General features: G+C 38.2%; 1 protein-coding gene across 7 annotated transcripts in view, besides 1 other annotated feature; it reads right to left on the reverse strand.

Moving 5' to 3' along the window:
- GTF2E2 (general transcription factor IIE subunit 2) overlaps positions 1 to 18,742 on the reverse strand; it is a 79,919-nt gene that overhangs the window by 40,097 nt on the left and 21,080 nt on the right. For all 7 annotated transcript variants that reach the window (NM_002095.6, XM_017013364.2, XM_017013363.2 and 4 more), the window contains exon 3: positions 16,618 to 16,709. In NM_002095.6, coding sequence (NP_002086.1) covers positions 16,618 to 16,709 — 92 coding nt within the window. The remainder of the gene's footprint in view (positions 1 to 16,617; positions 16,710 to 18,742) is intronic.
- Positions 11,929 to 11,988: an enhancer, noted in NCBI's record as "active region_27213". NCBI's record gives its function as "activates an Ori minimal core promoter by ATAC-STARR-seq in GM12878 lymphoblastoid cells {active_cell/tissue: GM12878}" and the evidence as "EXISTENCE:reporter gene assay evidence [ECO:0000049][PMID:35858748]".

The raw sequence follows: 18,742 nt of genomic DNA on the forward strand, positions 1-18,742 counted from the left end.
AATCGTGACATGCATGTAGGAATCCTGAGGCGGGCCTGGGAATCTCACATGACAAAGGGCCCAGCATGCATGGCCTCGCTCATTCCTTCACTTTCAGGATTCTGCAACACAGTGAGACTGGCCTGTTATAAGATGGATTGTGGAGAATTTTTTTTTAAAGACCTTTCAAAGGTAGACATTGTACAATGGTTTCACAAAGCTGTAAGAAATGAATTACAAATTTCTCCTTACAAAAAGGCAAAATGTTTCAAATCTGCTCAATATTCTATGATTATAGCAGCTATTTACAGTTTGCTAACAATTATTTTTAAAATAATTAAAATAAGCCATCTATTCCTTCAAAGTAAAGCTGGCATTTAATGATGTGTAAAAGTAGCTGCTTTTTGAAATAAATTCATGCCATGGAAAGAGCATTTTGAAAAGACTGGGAAATATTTCCATCATTATGTGATTTCTGAGTTTAAAAGGTATAAGAATAAAAACTGTCATATCTGCATATCTTAAAATTTTGATAAACTATTTTCTAACCTTCACTATTATCTTCTTTGAGATGTAGTCTCGCCTTGTCACCGGGCTAGAGTGCAGTGGTGCAATCTTGGGTCACTGCAACCTCCACCTCCCGGGTTCAAGTGATCCTCCTGCCTCAGCCTCCGAGTAGCTGAGACTACAGGCATGTGCCACCACACCATGCTAATTTTTGTATTTTTAGTAAAGACGAGGTTTCACCATGTTGTCCAGGATGGTCTCGATCTCCTGACTTCATGATCCACCTGCCTCAGCCTCCCGAAGTGTTGGGATTACAGGCATGAGCCACCGTGCCCAGTCTACTTCAATAGTTTTACAGTACTTTGAGTGCTGTTTTATAATCTTTATTTTTAAAAAGTCTTCCAGACAAAACCCTTCTATGAGTTTAAAATCAAAATTGTCAGTAATTTAAAAATTATAATCCATTTTGATATATTTTGCATAAACTGACTTTTTTTTTTTTTTTGAGACGGAGTTTCGCTCTTGGTGCCCACGCTGGAGTGCAATGGCATGATCTCGGCTCACCGCAACCGCCACCTCCCAGGTTCAAGCAATTCTCCTGCTTCAGCTTCCCAAGTAGCTGGGACTATACGCGTGCACCACAACACCTGGCTAATTTTTGTATTTTTAGTAGAGACGGGGTTTCACCATGTTGGTCAGGCTGGTCTCGAACTCCTGACCTCATGATCTGGCCACCTCAGCCTCCTATAGTGCTGGGATTACAGGTGTGAGCCACTGCGCCTGGCCAAACTGACATATTTTTTAAAATGGGAGTTTACTAGCCAAATTGTCGGGATTAAAATAAATCAGTGTCACAATTTTCTAACAATGATTTATAGCCGCTGAGTGAATAATGCATACCCTCCCTCCAAAAACATGCACATCCAAATCAACCTGTGGCTGTGTTACCTTGCATGACAAAAGGGACTTCATTGGCATGATTAAACCAAGGATCCAGAGATAGGAGACATTATTGCAGATTTCCAGGTGTCCCTTAAAAGGGAAAGAGGGAGGCAGGAGAGTCCGAGTGAATAGCAAGAGATGTGACAACAGAAGAGGATGGAGGAAGGACTATGAGTCAGGGAATGCAGGTGGCCTGTAGAAACTGACAGAGTAAAGAGATGCTCCCCTTTATGTCTCCAGAAGGAACCAAACCTGCCTATACTCTGACTTTAGCCCAGCAAGTCTGCCTTTTGAACCTCCGACTTCCAAAACTGGAAGATAACCAATTTCTGTTGTTTTAAGCCACTAAAGTTGTGGTAATTTACAGCAGCAATAGGAAACTTATACACACACACAAACACACACACACACACACAAACACACACACACACGTATACATACACACATTCATTCCTTTGAGATCTATAAATCTTTGCTAAGGGTCTTTATTGCTATGACATCAATTAAAACCAAGGTTCCAAACAAACTAAACCTAAAACGAGACCTTCATCACTTTGTAAGAAAAGGTTAAATGAAGATGTTTGACACAGCACTCATTCAATCATACTGCTTTCAGTCAGAAAAAGAGCTTCTTATACTGTTAAAAAAATTATTTTAAAATAGTGTATTTTACCTTTTATCTCTATCTTTTTCATTTCTTATTTTTGTGTAAGCTTATAACATATACAATGTATTGATAGAGTAATACACTAGCACATGTACAAACAGTAAGCTAAGAAAATTTTAATAAGAGTTAGCCGAGCTGGGCACGGTGGCTCACGTCTGCAATCCCAGCACTTGGGGAGGCTGACGTGGGTGAATCACCTGAGTTCAGTAAGTAGTTCAAGGCCAGCCTGGCCAACATGATGAAACCTCGACTCCACAAAAAAAAAAAAAATTAGCCAGGCATGGTGGCACATGCCTATAATTCCAGCTGCTGAAGAGGCTGAGGCAGGAGAATCGCTTGAGCCCAGCAGACGGAGGTTGCAATGAGCCAAGACTGCGCTACTGCACTCCAGCCTGGGAAACAGAGTGATATTACATCTTGGAAAAAAAAAAAAATGAGGTAGCTAAGAAAAAAACAGAGGAGAGCAGTGCAGTAGACTTTTGGATATATGGATCTGGAAGCACATAGCCTAAACTAGAAGGAATAATGGAGGTTACTTGTCTAAGGAGAGCCAATACAACCCTTTCAAAATATTTTTCCATATTCTCCATTATCATTATTAAATTTGATCTATTTTCCTTTGTTTCCTTTACATTAAAAGTTTTTTTCCCCATTACAATCAAGTACAAAATTACCAAAAGGCCAACCTAACCTGGAAAATAAGAATACACCTCAAGAAAAATTTAAAAATTACTAGCCTTGTACTATTGTTTTTAAATCAAAAATAAATGGAATTATTGGAATCAGAAAAAAATCAATGACAGAAGTAATAATCAATGCATGAAAGCCTAACCATTTTCACTGAGCTTTGTAAACACAGAAGCCAAAAATCCAACTATCAAGTTGCTAAGGGGAAGCTACTGGATCAAAATGAGTGATGAACAATAAAAGATCAAGAGAAACTGAAAATCCCTTCCTCATAGATCAGGAATTAAAAAGAAAAATGAAAGAGTGCTTACAGAGAGTACATACATAATGCCCTACAACTAGAGACTTGATTTAGTTTTCAGCAAAGAAAACATCTTTGTTAAATTTCTTCCTAATTATTGGATGACTTTTGGTGTGCTGCCTTTCGTACTTTGTTTCACTTTCTTATTTTTTTATTGCAAATTTGTAGAAATTGATTTTTGTAGATTCAGCTTTATTTGGTAACCTTACTGAATATACCTATTAATTCCAGTAGTTCCCAGATTCTTCTAGCTTTTCTACATACTTAATCACATCATCTGTGGTTTTACTTCTTCCTTTCCAATTTTTATGTTACTACTTCCTTCGTGCCTTACTGCACCAGGAAGAACTTCCAGTACAATACAGAACAAAAGGTGTGACAATTTGGTATCCTTGTCTTTTTCCTGACCTAAAGAAAACACATTTGCTATCTCATCGTTAAGTATGATGTTAAATCTAGGGGGTTCTTATATATATATATATTTTTTTATTATACTTTAAAGTTCTAGGGTACATGTGCACAACCTGCAGGTTTGTTACATATGTATACATGTGCCATGTTGGTGTGCTGTACCCACTAACTCGTCCTTTACATTAGGTATATCTCCTAATGCTATCCCTCCCCCCTCCCCCCACCCACAACAGGCCCCGGTGTGTGATGTTCCCCTTCCTGTGTCCAAGGGTATTAGGGAACCTGCCCCAATAGTCATGTAGGTTCTTTTCTATTTTCCCTAAGTGTTGGCCAGTTTGAAAAATAAAGGGACAGAGTACAAAAGAGAGAAATTTTAAAGCTGGGCGTCCAGGGGAGACATCACATGTCAGTAGGTTCCGTGATGCCCCACAAGCTGCAAAACCAGCAAGTTTTTACTAGGGACTTTCAAAAGGGGAGGGAGTGTACAAATAGGGTGTGGGTCACAGAGATCATGTGCTTCACAAGATAATAGAGTATCACAAGGCAAATGGAGGCAGGGCGAGATCACAGGACCACAGGACCAGGGTGAAATTAAAATTGCTAATGAAGTTTCAGGCACCATTGTCATTGGTAACATCTTATCAGGAGACAGGGTTTTGAGAGCAACCGGTCTGACCAAAATTTATTGGGCGGGAATTTCCTCGTCCTAATAAGCCTGGGAGCACTATGGGAGACTGGGGCTTATTTCATCCCTACAGCTCGACCATAGAAGATGGCCACAGCCAGGGGGGCCGTCTACAGACCTACCCCCAGGCACGTATTTGCTTTCTCAGGGATGCTCCTTGCTGAGAAAAAGAATTCAGCGATATTTCTCCCATTTGCTTTTGAAAGAAAAGAAATATGGCTCTGTTCCACCCGGCTCACCGGTGGTCAGAGTTTAAGGTTATCTCTCTTATTCCCTGAACATTGCTGTTACCCTGTTCTTTTTTCAAGGTGCCCAGATTTCATATTGTTCAAACACACATGCTCTACAATTTGTGCAGTTAACGCAATTATCACAGGGTCCTGAAGCGACATACATCCTCCTCAGCTGACAGGATTAAGAGATTAAAGTAAAGACAGGCATAGGAAATCACAAGGGTATTGACTGGGGAAGTGATAAGTGCCCATGAAATCTTCACAATTTATGTTTAGAGACTGGAGTAAAGAAAGGCATAAGAAATTATAAAAGTATTAAATTGGGGAACTAATAAATGTCCATGAAATCTTCACAATCCACGTTCTTCTGCCATGGTTTCAGTCGGTCCCTCCATTTGGGGTCCCTGACTTCCCGCAACACAAGTGTTCTCACTGTTCAATTCCCACCTATGAGTGAGAACATGCAGTGTTTGGTTTTTCGTCCTTGCGATAGTTTGCTGAGAATGATGGTTTCCAGCTTCATCCATGTCCCTACAAAGGACATGAACTCATCATTTTTTATGGCTGCATAGTATTCCATGGTGTATATGTGCCACATTTTCTTAATCCAGTCTATCATTGTTGGACATTTGAGTGCTGCAATAAACATATGCGTGCATGTCTCTTTACAGCAGCATGATTTATAATCCTTTCGGTATATACCCAGTAATGGGATGGCTGGGTCAAATGGTATTTCTAGTTCTAGATCCCTGAGGAATCGCCACACTGACTTCTACAATGGTTGAACTAGTTTACAGTCCCACCAACAGTGTAAAAGTGTTCCTGTTTCTCCACATCCTCTCCAGCACCTGTTGTTTCCTGACTTTTTAATGATCATCATTCTAACTGGTGTGAGATGGTATCTCATTGTGGTTTTGATTTGCATTTCTCTGATGGCCAGTGATGATGAGCATTTTTTCATGTGTCTGTTGGCTGCATAAATGTCTTCTTTTGAGATGTATCTGTTCGTATCCTTTGCCCACTTTTTGATGGGGTTTTTTTTTCTTGAAAATTTGTTTGAGTTCTTTGTAGATTCTGGATATCAGCCCTTTGTCAGATGAGTAGATTGGAAAAATTTTCTCCCATTCTGTAGGTTGCCTGTTCACTCAGATGGTAGTTTCTTTTGCTGTGCAGAAGCCCTTTAGTTTAATTAGATCCCATTTGTCTATTTTGGCTTTCGTTGCCATTGCTTTTGGTGTTTTAGACATGAAGTCCTTGCCCATGCCTATGTCCTGAATAGTATTGCCTAGGTTTTCTTCTAGGGTTTTTATGGTTTTTGGTCTAACATTTAAGTCTTTAATCCATCTTGAATTAATTTTTGTATACGGTGTAAGGAAGGGATCCAGTTTCAGCTTTCTACATATGGCTAGCCAGTATTCCCAGCACCATTTGTTGAACAGGGAATCCTTTCCTCATTGCTTGTTTTTGTCAGGTTTGTCGAAGATCAGATAGTTGTAGATGTGTGGTATTATTTCCGAGGGCTCTGTTCTGTTCCATTGGTCTGTATCTCTGTTTTGGTACCAGTACCATGCTGTTTTGGTTACTGTAGCCTTGTAGTATAGTTTGAAGTCAGGTAGCATGATGCCTCCAGCTTTGTTCTTTTGGCTTAGGACTGACTTCACAATGCGGGCTCTTTTTTGGTTCCATATGAACTTGAAAGTAGTTTTTTCCAATTCTGTGAAGAAAGTCATTGGTAGCTTGATGGGGATGGCATTGAATCTATAAATTACCTTGGGCAGTATGGCCATTTTCATGATATTGATTCTTCCTAGCCATGAGCATGGAATGTTCTTCCATTTGTTTGTATCCTCTTTTATTTCATTGAGCAGTGGTTTGTAGTTCTCCTTGAAGAGGTCCTTCACATCCCTTGTAAGTTGGATTTCTAGGTATTTTATTCTCTTTGAAGCAATTGTGAATGGGAGTTCACTCATGATTTGGCTGTTTGTCTGTTACTGGTGTGTAAGAATGCTTGTGGTTTTTGCACATTGATTTTGTATCCTGAGACTTTGCTGAAGTTGCTTATCAGCTTAAGGAGATTTTGGGCTGAGATGATGGGGTTTTCTAGATATACAATCATGTCATCTGCAAACAGGGACAATTTGACTTCCTCTTTCCTAAATGAATACCCTTTATTTCTTTCTCCTGCCTGATTGCCCTGGCCAGAACTTCCAACACTATGTTGAATAGGAGTGGTGAGAGAGGGCATCCCTGTCTTGTGCCAGTTTTCAAAGGGAATGCTTCCAGTTTTTGCCCATTCAGTATGATACTGGCTGTGGGTTTGTCATAAATAGCTCTTATTATTTTTAGATACGTCCCATCAATACCTAATTTATTGAGGGTTTTTTTTTAGTATGAAGCGCTGTTGAATTTTGTCAAAGGCCTTTTCTGCATCTACTGAGATAATCATGTGGTTTTTGTCTTTGGTTCTGTTTATATGCTGGATTACGTTTATTGACTTGCGTATGTTGAACCAGCCTTGCATCCCAGGGTGAAATCTAGGTTTTCACAGTTACCCTCTTACCACTGGGTTTCTCAACCAGCATTCCACAAAACTCTAAGGTTCCACAAGAAATCGTGATTTTAAAAAATAAACATTTTCTAAATTTCTCACACCAGGTGATGCTGGTGCTCACAGTAACAGGCAACGACCGAACAGCCAAATCAATGGTTTCATAAGGAATCTTTTAGCACCATGTGGCAGTGTGCAAGTAGGGCTATGTTCACTTTGCTGAGGGCACTGTCTGTTGTTTTTTGTTTTTTGTTTTAAGGGACACCCAGGCAGGAGTACAGTGGCACGATCTCGGCTCACTGCAACCTCCACCTCCAGGGTTCAGACGATTCCTGTGCCTCAGCCTCCTGAGTAGCTGGGACTACAGCCATGCGCCATCACACCCAGGTAATTTTTGTATTTTTATTAGAGACGGGGTTTTGCCATGTTGGCCAGGCTGGTCTCAAACTCCTGACCTCAAGTCACCCGCCCGCCTCAGCCTCCCAAAGTGCTAGGATTACAGGCGTGAGCCACCGTGCCCAGCCTGCCACTATCCGTTTTTGATGCAATAGGGGCAGTTAGGCCACTGATAATTGGTAAGCTCTATATGGCACAAACAAAAGCATAGTAGGCTGACAATGTCAGCAGCTCCCTTCCCAAATTACATCCTCCAACCTTCCTTCACACAGTGCCACTGACTTATAGGACCAAACAAACTCTACTGGTATAACAGAAAATCTAAGGAAAACATTCATTCTAAACAAGTAATTTTTACACACCAAGAGTCAACTGCTTCTTACCACTCTGAAATGTTGCAAAACATGGATTATGTAGCAATAAAAGTAAAATGTAGCTGGGAGTAGTGGCTCACACCTGTAATCCCACCACTTTGGGAGGCCAACGTGGGCAGATCACAAGGTCAAGAGATCGAGACCATCCTGGCCAACATGGTGAAACCCCATCTCTACTAAAAATACAAAATTTAGCCGGGCGTGGTGGCACACGCCTGTAGTCCCAGCTACTTGGGAGGCTGAAGCAGGAGAATCGCTTGAACCCGAGAGGTGGAGGTTGCAGTGAGCCGAGATCACGCCATTGCACTCCATCCTGATGACAGAGCGAGACTCTGTCTCAAAAAAGAAAAAAGAAGTAAAATGTATTGTGAAGTTTTCATATTTTTTGCAACTTTCTCAGTTACTATTCCCTTTAGTTTTATAACATATTAGCATCTATGTCTTATAAACATGTCTGACAGTGCAGCGTGATGATTTCTGAAGATACAATTTACAAGAGAAGAGAATTCCAAACCTAGGCCCAGGAACAATTCTAATAAGGCAAGTAATAAAGAACTATAATCTTCTGGGTCATTTTACTGCACCAGTGCAGCAAGAGAGAGAGAACAGCCTACCACTACAGTGAAAACTACTTATCAATGAACTTCACTAGGTTAGTAATCCAAAGAGTCCTATTCCATTGTGCAGCATCTGTGGCAAACAATTTATGACTCCAGCAAAAGTGAAAAATCACTGAAATAGAAATCACAGCTACTGGACAAGTCAAGGTACTTACTGGAATCTCAGAGTAAAGCTCTTCATCTTTTTGTTTTTAAATCACATTCAGTGAAAAAGCTCATAAAGCACGTTATTAGTAGCAGAATTTATTGTCTAAAAAGGGGGTATAGTGGATAGAATCACACCACTGATGGGAACCTAATCATGCCAGCATGTTAAATGACAGTAAGTAAAATGCACAGCATGAGAAACTGAAAAGGCTCCACTCTCAAACAGTGTAAGTTGACAAATTGATGACATGTCACATGATGCTAAGAGGTTTAATAAACTGACAAACAGCTTGTTTATCCAGGCTGACAAACCAACATATTTCACTATATATGTCTTGTAAATTTTTTTAAACAATGCTGAATTTCAAGAAAAATTTTTGTGCTGCAAAAAAACTACCATAAACAAAGGGCATGACATTTTCAATGTGGTGTCTTCATATCTGGAAACAAGAAGTCCATCTTAGAGAAACTGTGTTGGCATCCACAGTGATGTTCCCCATTAGTGACTGGCTCACGGCAAGGTTTTACCTCTCTTGCAAAAAAAAAAAAAAAAAAAAAAACTCAGGACATCGCTTTTTTCAGAGAGGTACTAGCAGCAAAAATCCTCGGAAATGAAATTTAAGATGTCTTGAATGGGCCAGATGCAGTGGCGCACACCTATAATCCCAGCACTTTGGGAGACCAACACAGGAGGATTGCTTGAGGCCAGGAGTTTAAGACCAGCCTGGCAACACAGCAAGACCTCATCACTATTTAAAAAAAGTCTTGAATGATGTTTAAAAATGATTTGCTTTATTAAACATAGACCAGTATACTTGAGCACCTAAATCTCTTGCTACATACAGAAATCCAGTGGCTTAGCAGAGGAGGTATTCTCAACAGAACACTGAAGCTGAAAGCTGAATTACAAAGTACTTTCAAGAAAATAGTAGGCCATCCTTTACTGAGTGCTTTGAAGATGAAGAGTGACTGCAGGAGCTAGCCTCTTGGCAGACTTTTTAAAATAATATGAACCAGTTGAACAAGTTTAGAAAAAAATGTTTTGACTTCAAGTGACAAGACATTGGATTTCAAAGGAAAACTGAATCTCTGGAAAAATCATGTGGCAAAAGAAATCTTGTAATGCTGTTTGGGCTTGAAAGTGAGGAAGGATACCAGCAACTCTGAAGCATTCTCGAAAACCACCTGGAAGAACTAAAACACAAAATTAAACAGTACTTTCTCCCTCTTTCAACACAAATGTGAACCTGGGTGAAGGTTCCTTTCTTATCCCAAGCTTCTGCCCAACTGAGAACAAGTAAGTTGCCTACTTTGATCAGGTGAGAAAAGAAATCAAGTAGAAAATTTTAAAAAAGAAAAAAACTGAGGTTTCCTCTGCCTATACTACTGACTTGCACAAGAGTGGAGATCCTTCCTGGGGAGTAGGGAGCAACCACACACACAAAGAGCAGGCTAATAAGCTGGGCGAAATAAATGCAAAGACAAAAATATTCTCCTGTCAAAAGAGCACTGACAATTATTATTAACTTATCATGTCCACAACTTACTGATTAGGTTAATAAATGTGAACTCGGAGGTATAGCAATTCTTTGCATGGGTTCTCTGAGACCTGAAAATTATTTCAAGGGTTCCTCCAGAGTAAGAAGATTGAGAAAGGCTGCTCTATTGCATTGAGGAACTTTGCCTCTACTAATTTGCTGCAAGTTTTTATAATAAATTGGTATTAAATTTTACCAGAGGCTGGGCATGTTGGCTCACGCCTGTAATCCCAGCATTTTGAGAGGCCGAGGCAGGCAGATCACGAAGTTAGGAGATCAAGCCCATCCTGGCTAACACGGTGAAACCTCATCTCTACTAAAAATACAAAAAATTAGCCGGGTGTGGTGGCACACGCCTGTAATCCCAGCTACTTAGGAGGCTGAGGCAGGAGAATCGCTTGAACCCGGGAGGCGGAGGTTACGGTAAGCTGAGACAGTGCCACTGCACTCCAGCCTGGGCAAGAGAGTGAGACTCCGTCTCAAAAAAAAAAAAAAAAAATTTTACCAGCAACTTTTTCTATATCCACTAAGAGATCATGATTTTTCTTTATTCTGTTAATATAACTTACACTAATTAATTTTCAAATATTAACCACTCATACATTCCTAAACTTTACTCCATCACAATGTATTATCAGATCTATGGACATATATATTCATATCTTATATTTGAACAGATTAAATTGGTTCATATATTTTAAAAAATTTTTATACCTGTATTTAGTAGAGATATTGTCATATAATTTAAATACTTTTATTTAAAACTGGAAATAGATCCATATTCTTGACCCAGTCCTACTATGGACCAGAACTGTGTCTATGAGCCAGTCATTTAATGTCTATGGACTCCAGAGTTTCTAAATTCAAAAATAATTGTCAGAAGTAATTCAGACAGAAGTTAGGCCAGTGATTCTCAAACTTCAGCATGTATCACAATCACTTGAAGGGCTTTTTTAAAAACAGACTGTTGCTCACGCCTGTAATCCCAGCACTTTGGGAGGCTGAGACGGGCAGATCACAAGGTCAGGAGATCCAGACCATCCTGGCTAACACGGTGAAACCCCGTCTCTACTAAAAAAATACAAAAAAATTAGCCAGGCGTGGTGGCAGGCGCCTGTAGTCCCAGCTCCTCGGGAGGCTAAGGCAGGAGAATGGCGTGAACCCAGGAGGTAGAGCTTGCAATGAGCCAAGATCGCACCACTGCACTCCAGCCTGGGTGACAGAGCAAGATTCCATCTCAAAAAAAAAAAAAAAAAAAAAGACTGTTGAGCTATACTCCCAGAGTTTCAAATTCAATAGGTCTGGAAAGGGGCCCAAGAATTTGCATTTCTAACAAGTTCCCAGGTGATGCTGATACTGCTGGCTGGAGAATGACACTGGAGAAACACTAAGCTAGAATAAGCCAAATTAACCCAGATTTTTCAACATAGTGTTTTACATAACCGAGACATAAGGAATAATGCTGAAATCAAGAGAAAAATCATTTTATCAAAAATAAAGTACACACTTAATTTGTCATCTGAGAATTAAAGTGCTGTCTCATATGAAGAAAGAGGCATCCTAAGGGGATTTTCGAGATAACTTGGAGTGCTTTTAAAACTTACTCCTTTAAGCAATAAAATTTGTTTTACATTAACCATTTCTGTAAAAATCCTCCTAAAATAAACCATAAAGTTCCTCTTTCATCTTAACCAGGTCACTGAACATAATTTAATCTTTTTTGATGTCTCAGTTACTGTTCCAACGTAAATTACTGAGCTATGGTATGATAGTAACCATCTCAGGAGCTGGTGAGATGAGGTGGGCAGTTTGTCCCCTCCACTGCATGTTCTCAGTATTATGACTCTGAAGTTCCTGTATCTGCCTTTCATCTTTCTATTTAGTACTTTGTCCAAAGTTATGACTATCTGCTATAAATCTCACTGTACCTATCTAATGCCTCCCCTGGAACTTTTTCCACAGTTTCTAAATCATTCTTATTAAGCAATTAAACAGTTTCCCTATTAAATGAATCAACTATAAGGAGCATTTCTGTTGCCTTTCTTTTGCTTTCTTTCTAAAGGTACACAAAAGACAGTGGGAGACTTTCCAAGAATCTGTTTACAGATACCTTCCAAATGTACTTCTTCCCTTTCAAAATAAGCCCTTCTCTTTACCTTCCACCTCCCCCCGCCATGAAAAAGTAATCTCACCTCCATTCAGAATTTGTGATGCAGAGCCTGAAGGAATAATAAACTCCAGGGACCCAAACAAACAGACAAGCCAAAAAAATGGTTTCAGGGAAGCATTCGTGAATGGTAACTGAGGTGCCGTAAACTATCCATTACTGGGCTTCTTGTCTTTTCCAGTCACATATTTTTCAAAGAGTTTAAAATATTTTGGCCCCTGCTGGAACATTCTAATCTATCATAATCTGTGAGCAATTGTTTAAAGTTTCCTCTAACAACCATTCCCCCTACACCCCCACCTCCATTCAGTATTGTCCAAGAACGCATTGCTCTTAGGGGACAGTATGATAAAAGTAATGCACAGAGAACACTGGTTAAAAAAAAGATAAAAAGAAATATTTTTTTCAAGAATTCTTATTTTTTTATTAGCGACAAGGTCTCAATGTGTCGCCCAGGCTGGAGTACAGTGGTGCAATCTTGGCTCATTGCAACTTCCACCTCCCAGGCTCATGTGATTCTCAGCCTCTAAAGTAGCTGCGGTTACAGGCATGTGCCAACACACCTGGTTAATTTCTTTTTGTATTTTTAGTAGAGACGGGGTTTCACCATGTTGGCCAGGCTGGTCTCAAACTCAAGTGATCCACCTGCCTCAGCCTCCCAAAGCGCTGAGAATACAGGTGTGAGCCACTGTGCTGGGCCGAGAATTTAAATATAAGTAATTCTCAAAACTCATTCCCTGAATATTTATTAGCTTGAAGAAAAAGCATATTTAGAGAGCTGGAACAATATCAATTAGGGAGGCTGATTCCTTTAAATATAAAAGAAATACTTTCTAGGACTGCCAAGTCATTCAAATTGTGCTATATAAAAGCTGTATAGAAATTACTTTAGATTGAGTGTGCATTACTCAATATGGTAGTTAAAATCTATTTTGTCAAATCGTATCATTAAAGTTTTATTCTAATTAGTCAATTCTCATTATAGTTTTTCAACAGTTTAATATTTCTACCTTCTACTGACAAAAAATAAGATATGCTAGCTGTCATACTGAGTAGTTTGAAGCAGTAGGTATCTCTTTCATTAATTACCCAAATAAAAATGTAAGGTTACTTCTGATTCATTCCCTTTTATTTATACCTAATAGCTGAGATCAGAGATCAGAAGATGCAGGAACACACATTTAAAAAGGAGTAACAGGCCAGGTCTAGTGGCTCACGCCTGTAATCCCAGCACTTCAGGAGGCTGAGGCAGGCGGATCACTTGAGGGATCCCCTGAGCCCAGGAGTTCAAGACCAAGCTGGGCAACACTGAGAGACCCTGTCTCTACAAAAAAAATACAAAAATTAGCCAGGCATGGTGGCACGTGCCTGTAGTCCCAGTTACTTGGGAGGTTGAGGTGGGAGGATCACTTGAGGCTAGGAGATCGAGGCTGCAGTGAGCCAGGATGGTGCCAATGCACTCTAGCCTAGGTGACAGAGTTAAGACCCTGTCTCAAAAACAAATAAATAAATAAAGGAATAACACAACTTTTATCATATCCCTTGCTTCATATTTTAACTGATTTAATTTTTAATCTAACATGACAAGCAGCGCAGAAATGTTTAAATTATTACAAAAATTGACAAATTACTGTAATTCTTTTTCAGTCATATAATTTTCAGCTCAAATACCTTAGCAGTATCTTTTAGTATGCATTCCATAATTTATTCCTCAGTGGTTTTCATATTATCCAAAATATCTGGTAATCTATTTATTTGAAATTTAAAATAGAGGAAAATTTTATGATTCAAAGCAAGTTTGTTATGGCTAGTTGGTTTGACAATGGAGACTGGCTTTGTTAACTAGGAGATATTTTCTAAAAATTGAATAAGCTAAACCTTCATACTAAAAGTTTTCACAAAAATATATTTTAAACACATAAAACAATTATAATAAAAATTCACAAAGCTATATTAAAATTAACAGTATTTCTATTTTCTCAACTGCTTCTGAATATATCAGATTTTAAAGAAAGTACCTATGAAGGGAGGGAGGGGAACTGATATAAGACATTTGATAAGCCTTTTTGATATGCTTCCTAGAAGCTAAGAAAATAAATGGTTAAGCACTAGGTAACAAATCCTTTGGCAAGTTGGGTGGTTTCCATTCTTTTGCTTTCAATAAAACTGAAGGAGGACCTAACAGAAGCATTAACTAATGGATGCTTGATGATAAAATCACTAGTGATTTTTGACATATAACTTGGAAGATTCTGATATCACAAAATTTCCATTAGAATTAACTTATATATTTGAACATTTATGTCTAAGCACTTAAATTCTACAAAATCTCAAAACACGAACAGATTTGCCAAACACAAGAACTAATGAAGGAAGAGAGGAGACAGCTGCATTCATTTAAGAATAAATTTCTGATACAAAGTGAATTTAATCAAAATTTTAATCTATGTATGTTATTCTAATCAACTGTGCACCAATAATTGTAAAAATAACTCAAACCGTAAGTTATTTTTAACACTTAGAGCTTTACGGTCATAGGAAAAACATTTTAAATTTTGATTTATATTTCAATTTATTTACATATTATTGTGGCAGAAAAGTTTGATAGATGATCAATAAATGATTTGAAAGATAAAAATACATAACATTTGGATAAAATTCAAAGGGAGTAACAGATGGGACACAAATATTCAAAGAAAAAATAATTAAAATTCCCAATCATTAAGGGAGTTTGTTTTTATACTTTTAAATAATGACATTTAGATTCCATTAGATAAATTTAAAAGTGATATATTTTATTGAAATACTACAATATGCCAGAAATTCTGTATTTCTGGTCATCATTTAAATTTTTGCTTGAATAGTGCCACTATTTAAACTTTGCTAACAGAGTGTAGTTATCAACTTAAATATGTACAAAGGGGTACACAGTTTTTCAAACTGTAGGGAGCACAAGTAAAAATTCTGAAGTTCACTGTTCTAAGACAGACAAAGTTATAAGTAAGCCACATAGGGAAGTGAAGACCATATTAACAGAGTAGCAAAAACATGACACTTAAATGTCAGTGTCCCTCAACAGAGTGACAGCCCTGAGGGTGGCATTTTTTTCTGGGTATTCCCACCATTAGTGCCCTAAACAGCCAATAGATTTTCATAACTGCTTACCATGTGGGGGAATAAATGGATGAAATGAATCAACAGTGAATACTTACGTGTCAAAATACATTATTTAATAATGGGGAGTTATATACTAACATATTTATACTATAACCCAAATACAAACCACAGAATTTAGACTCAGCTAGACACTAAGTCTATTAAATTACAAAAGAAAAGCCTTAGCACAGTTAAAAATCTGATTTATATTTTAACCAATAGATGGATGAAATTAAAATAACAAATATAGTACTGTCTTTTTCAAGAGATGCAACTAGTAACTAATCGTGAATAAGAGTTTGGCAAAAGAAGGGAGCAAATTTGAAATTACTTAGCCATCTTAGCTAAAAATGAAATCCCGCTTTAATAAATTTAGTTAAGATTCAAAGTCTTGGTCAGGCATAGTGGCTCATGCCTGAAAGCCAAACACTTTGGGAGACCGAGGTGGGAAAATCACATGAGCTTAGGAGTTCGAGACCAGCCTGGACAACACAGTGAGACTTCGTCTCTTCTAAAAATAAGAAAATTAGCCAGGCATGGTGGTGCATGCCTGTAGTCCCAGCTACTTGGGAGGCTGAGGCAGGAGGATCACTTGACCACAGGAGTTCAAGGCTGCAGTGAGCTACGATCGTGCCACTGCACTCCAGCCTGGGTAACGGAGCAAGACTGTCTCAAAAAAAAAGAAAAGGGAAAAAAAAAGATTCAAAGTAAAGCCAAAATCTTATATGATCAAAACTTTGTATTCAAAAAATACTAAACCTTCCATCAAACATTAAATTCTAATTCTTTTGTGAGTCAATGTTTTTCTAAGACTCTCAGTAAATGTCTAATTTTCTCCTCCAAGATGCAGAGAAGCCATCACCATCATCTGCCTGAACTATGTACTTTTTACTTCTCACATCAATGGAAGTAATAACCTGAAAAATCAATCACATCCTCCCATTGGTTTTGCCAGCCTGTATTCATTAAGAGGTGATATACCTACTGCCTAGGCACACTCTTATTAAGTGAAATGGTGAGCTTAAACTGTACCCTTGAGTTAATGCAGATTAAATATGCTTTGGTAACTCGCCACAATGCCAAATTAATACAATGTAAAAGGCTTGAGGTATAATTGGCATACAATAAACTGCACATACTGAAAATGCACAATTTTGATAAATTTTGATGTATACAGAAATTTAACTTCTGAAAACCCTAATCTCCTTCTTTTGCCAAAAAGTTAAATAGGACTTTTGCTATCTGAGAAAAGTACTTACCTTCATGTAATTCACAATCTTAGCAAGAACACCAAACTTATATCCAGAGCTTCCTGACAAAGCTTTCAAGTTAAATGATCCATTGCTATGATCTGCAAATGAAGTTCAAAATAACATCGTCATATTATGTGTGATTATGACTCTTGAGCAGCTAAAATAATTTTAATGCTGGTAACATATTTCTTGAGTTTTTCATCTAGTATATTCTACCCTGTAATATTCTGGTGAAAAATACACAATCTTTGAGTATATACATTAAAGTACCAATTTTCTCACTAAGGGTAGAAACAAAGTATAAATAACTTAAAACACCAAACCACAATTCTTTTATAAATATCTTTATCACATTATTTTTTATTATATTTTTTGAGACAGGGTCGCATTCCCATTGCCCAGGCTGAAGTTCAATGGCACAATCACAGCTCACTACACCCTCAACTTCCCAGGCTCAGGTGATTCTCCCACCTCAGCCTTCTGAGAGGCTGGGACTACAGGTGCACACCACCATGCCTGGCTAATTTTTTTATTTTTTGTAGAGATGGGGTTTCGCCATGTTGCCCAGGCTGGTCTCAAACTCCTGGACTCAAGAGATTCACCCATCTCAGCCTCCCAAAGTGCTGGGGTTACAGGTGTGAGCTACTGCACCAGGCCCCTTTCTCCTTTATCTCATTCTTATCTTAACTCTGATTAGACTCGCTCCATAATCAGAAGTACACTTTATTAAACAAGGAAACAATACAAACCTCAATCCCATCCATAAAGCTAACACAAGGAGTGGATTACTTCTGAGGGAAGAAAAGTTCAATATACCACTTTTTACATCAATTTCTGCTTACCAATTTAAGACCAAAAAAATAGGAATTAATGGAAACTAATAGAAAAAAGATATCACAATTATTTTAAAGTAAACTTTACAGATAAATTAGGAATAAAAAGCCACAGGCACTGCCACTGCATGAACATGGATGCTTACTTTAAAAAGCATCACAGCACTACCCACCCACTTTGAGAAACACCCCCCTCTCCTTCTCTATCTGGTGTGGAAAACCCTGTACAAAAGATCATTTGTTTCAAAATATCTATCATTTTGTTGCATTCTTACAAGCAGAAACCCTAATGTCACCACTGCATCACAAATGCATTCCATTAGTCATAACCAGGAACAGTAAAAAATCCATCATAAATACTAGAAAAACATTTTAGAAGTACACATTCTATTAGCAAGGCATGAGATCAGATATTATAAAGTTCCCATGTGGCTGATCCACAAAGAGAGAGGTTAAGTAAAAGGGGAGAGGAGAACCAATCTCTGGCACCAGGTTGGTAATAATAATTTAAACAAAAGATTGCATTAGAACAACCACAAGTCAAATGTAACAACTGTCAGAGATCCAAAAGAACAGCTTCTAGATGGCAATACCATACTCCTTTGAGATTAGTGAAGTCTTTATTGAGTATCCTTTTTTGAGACTAAAATGAAACTTCATATGCAATTTTCCTTTAAAACTAACTTTGTTACAATCTTAATTAATTGGCACACTGAAGTCTACCATGTTTCCAAAAGTAACAATAACATTAAGAATGCCTTACAGTTGGGAAGCCCAGGTGGGCAGATCATGAGGTCAGGAAATCGAGACCATCCTGGCCAACATGGTGAAACCCCGTCTCTACCAAAAATACAAAAATTAGCTGGGCATAATGGCACGTGCCTGTAGTCTCAGCTACTTGGGAGAATCACTTGAACGAGAGAGTTGGAGGTTGCAGTGAGCCGAGATAGTGCCACTGCACTCCAGCCTGGCAACAGAGTGAGACTCCGTCTCAAAATTAAAAAAAAAAAAAAAAAGAATGCCTTATAGGTGCTTTTCCATTCACTGTTTCAATTATGAAATATTACCTACGTAGTTCATTCTCCCAAGGTGTTCAGCACATCTGTAATAAAAGTAACCAATATTTATTATCTGCTAAACACTATGGTAAATATTCATACGTAATCCCTCCCAAAAAATCCAACTTAAGAAGTATTACTGTCCCCTTTTAAATATAATAAAATTGAGGGTAGTAAGCAGCAGAGTATAGATTCAAATCCAGTGTAAACCCTGTAATAAACAGCCTTTACACAGATTAT

The sequence above is a fragment of the Homo sapiens genome, chromosome 8 (genome assembly GCF_000001405.40).
Source record: "Homo sapiens chromosome 8, GRCh38.p14 Primary Assembly".
NCBI classification, from domain to species: domain Eukaryota; kingdom Metazoa; phylum Chordata; class Mammalia; order Primates; family Hominidae; genus Homo; species Homo sapiens.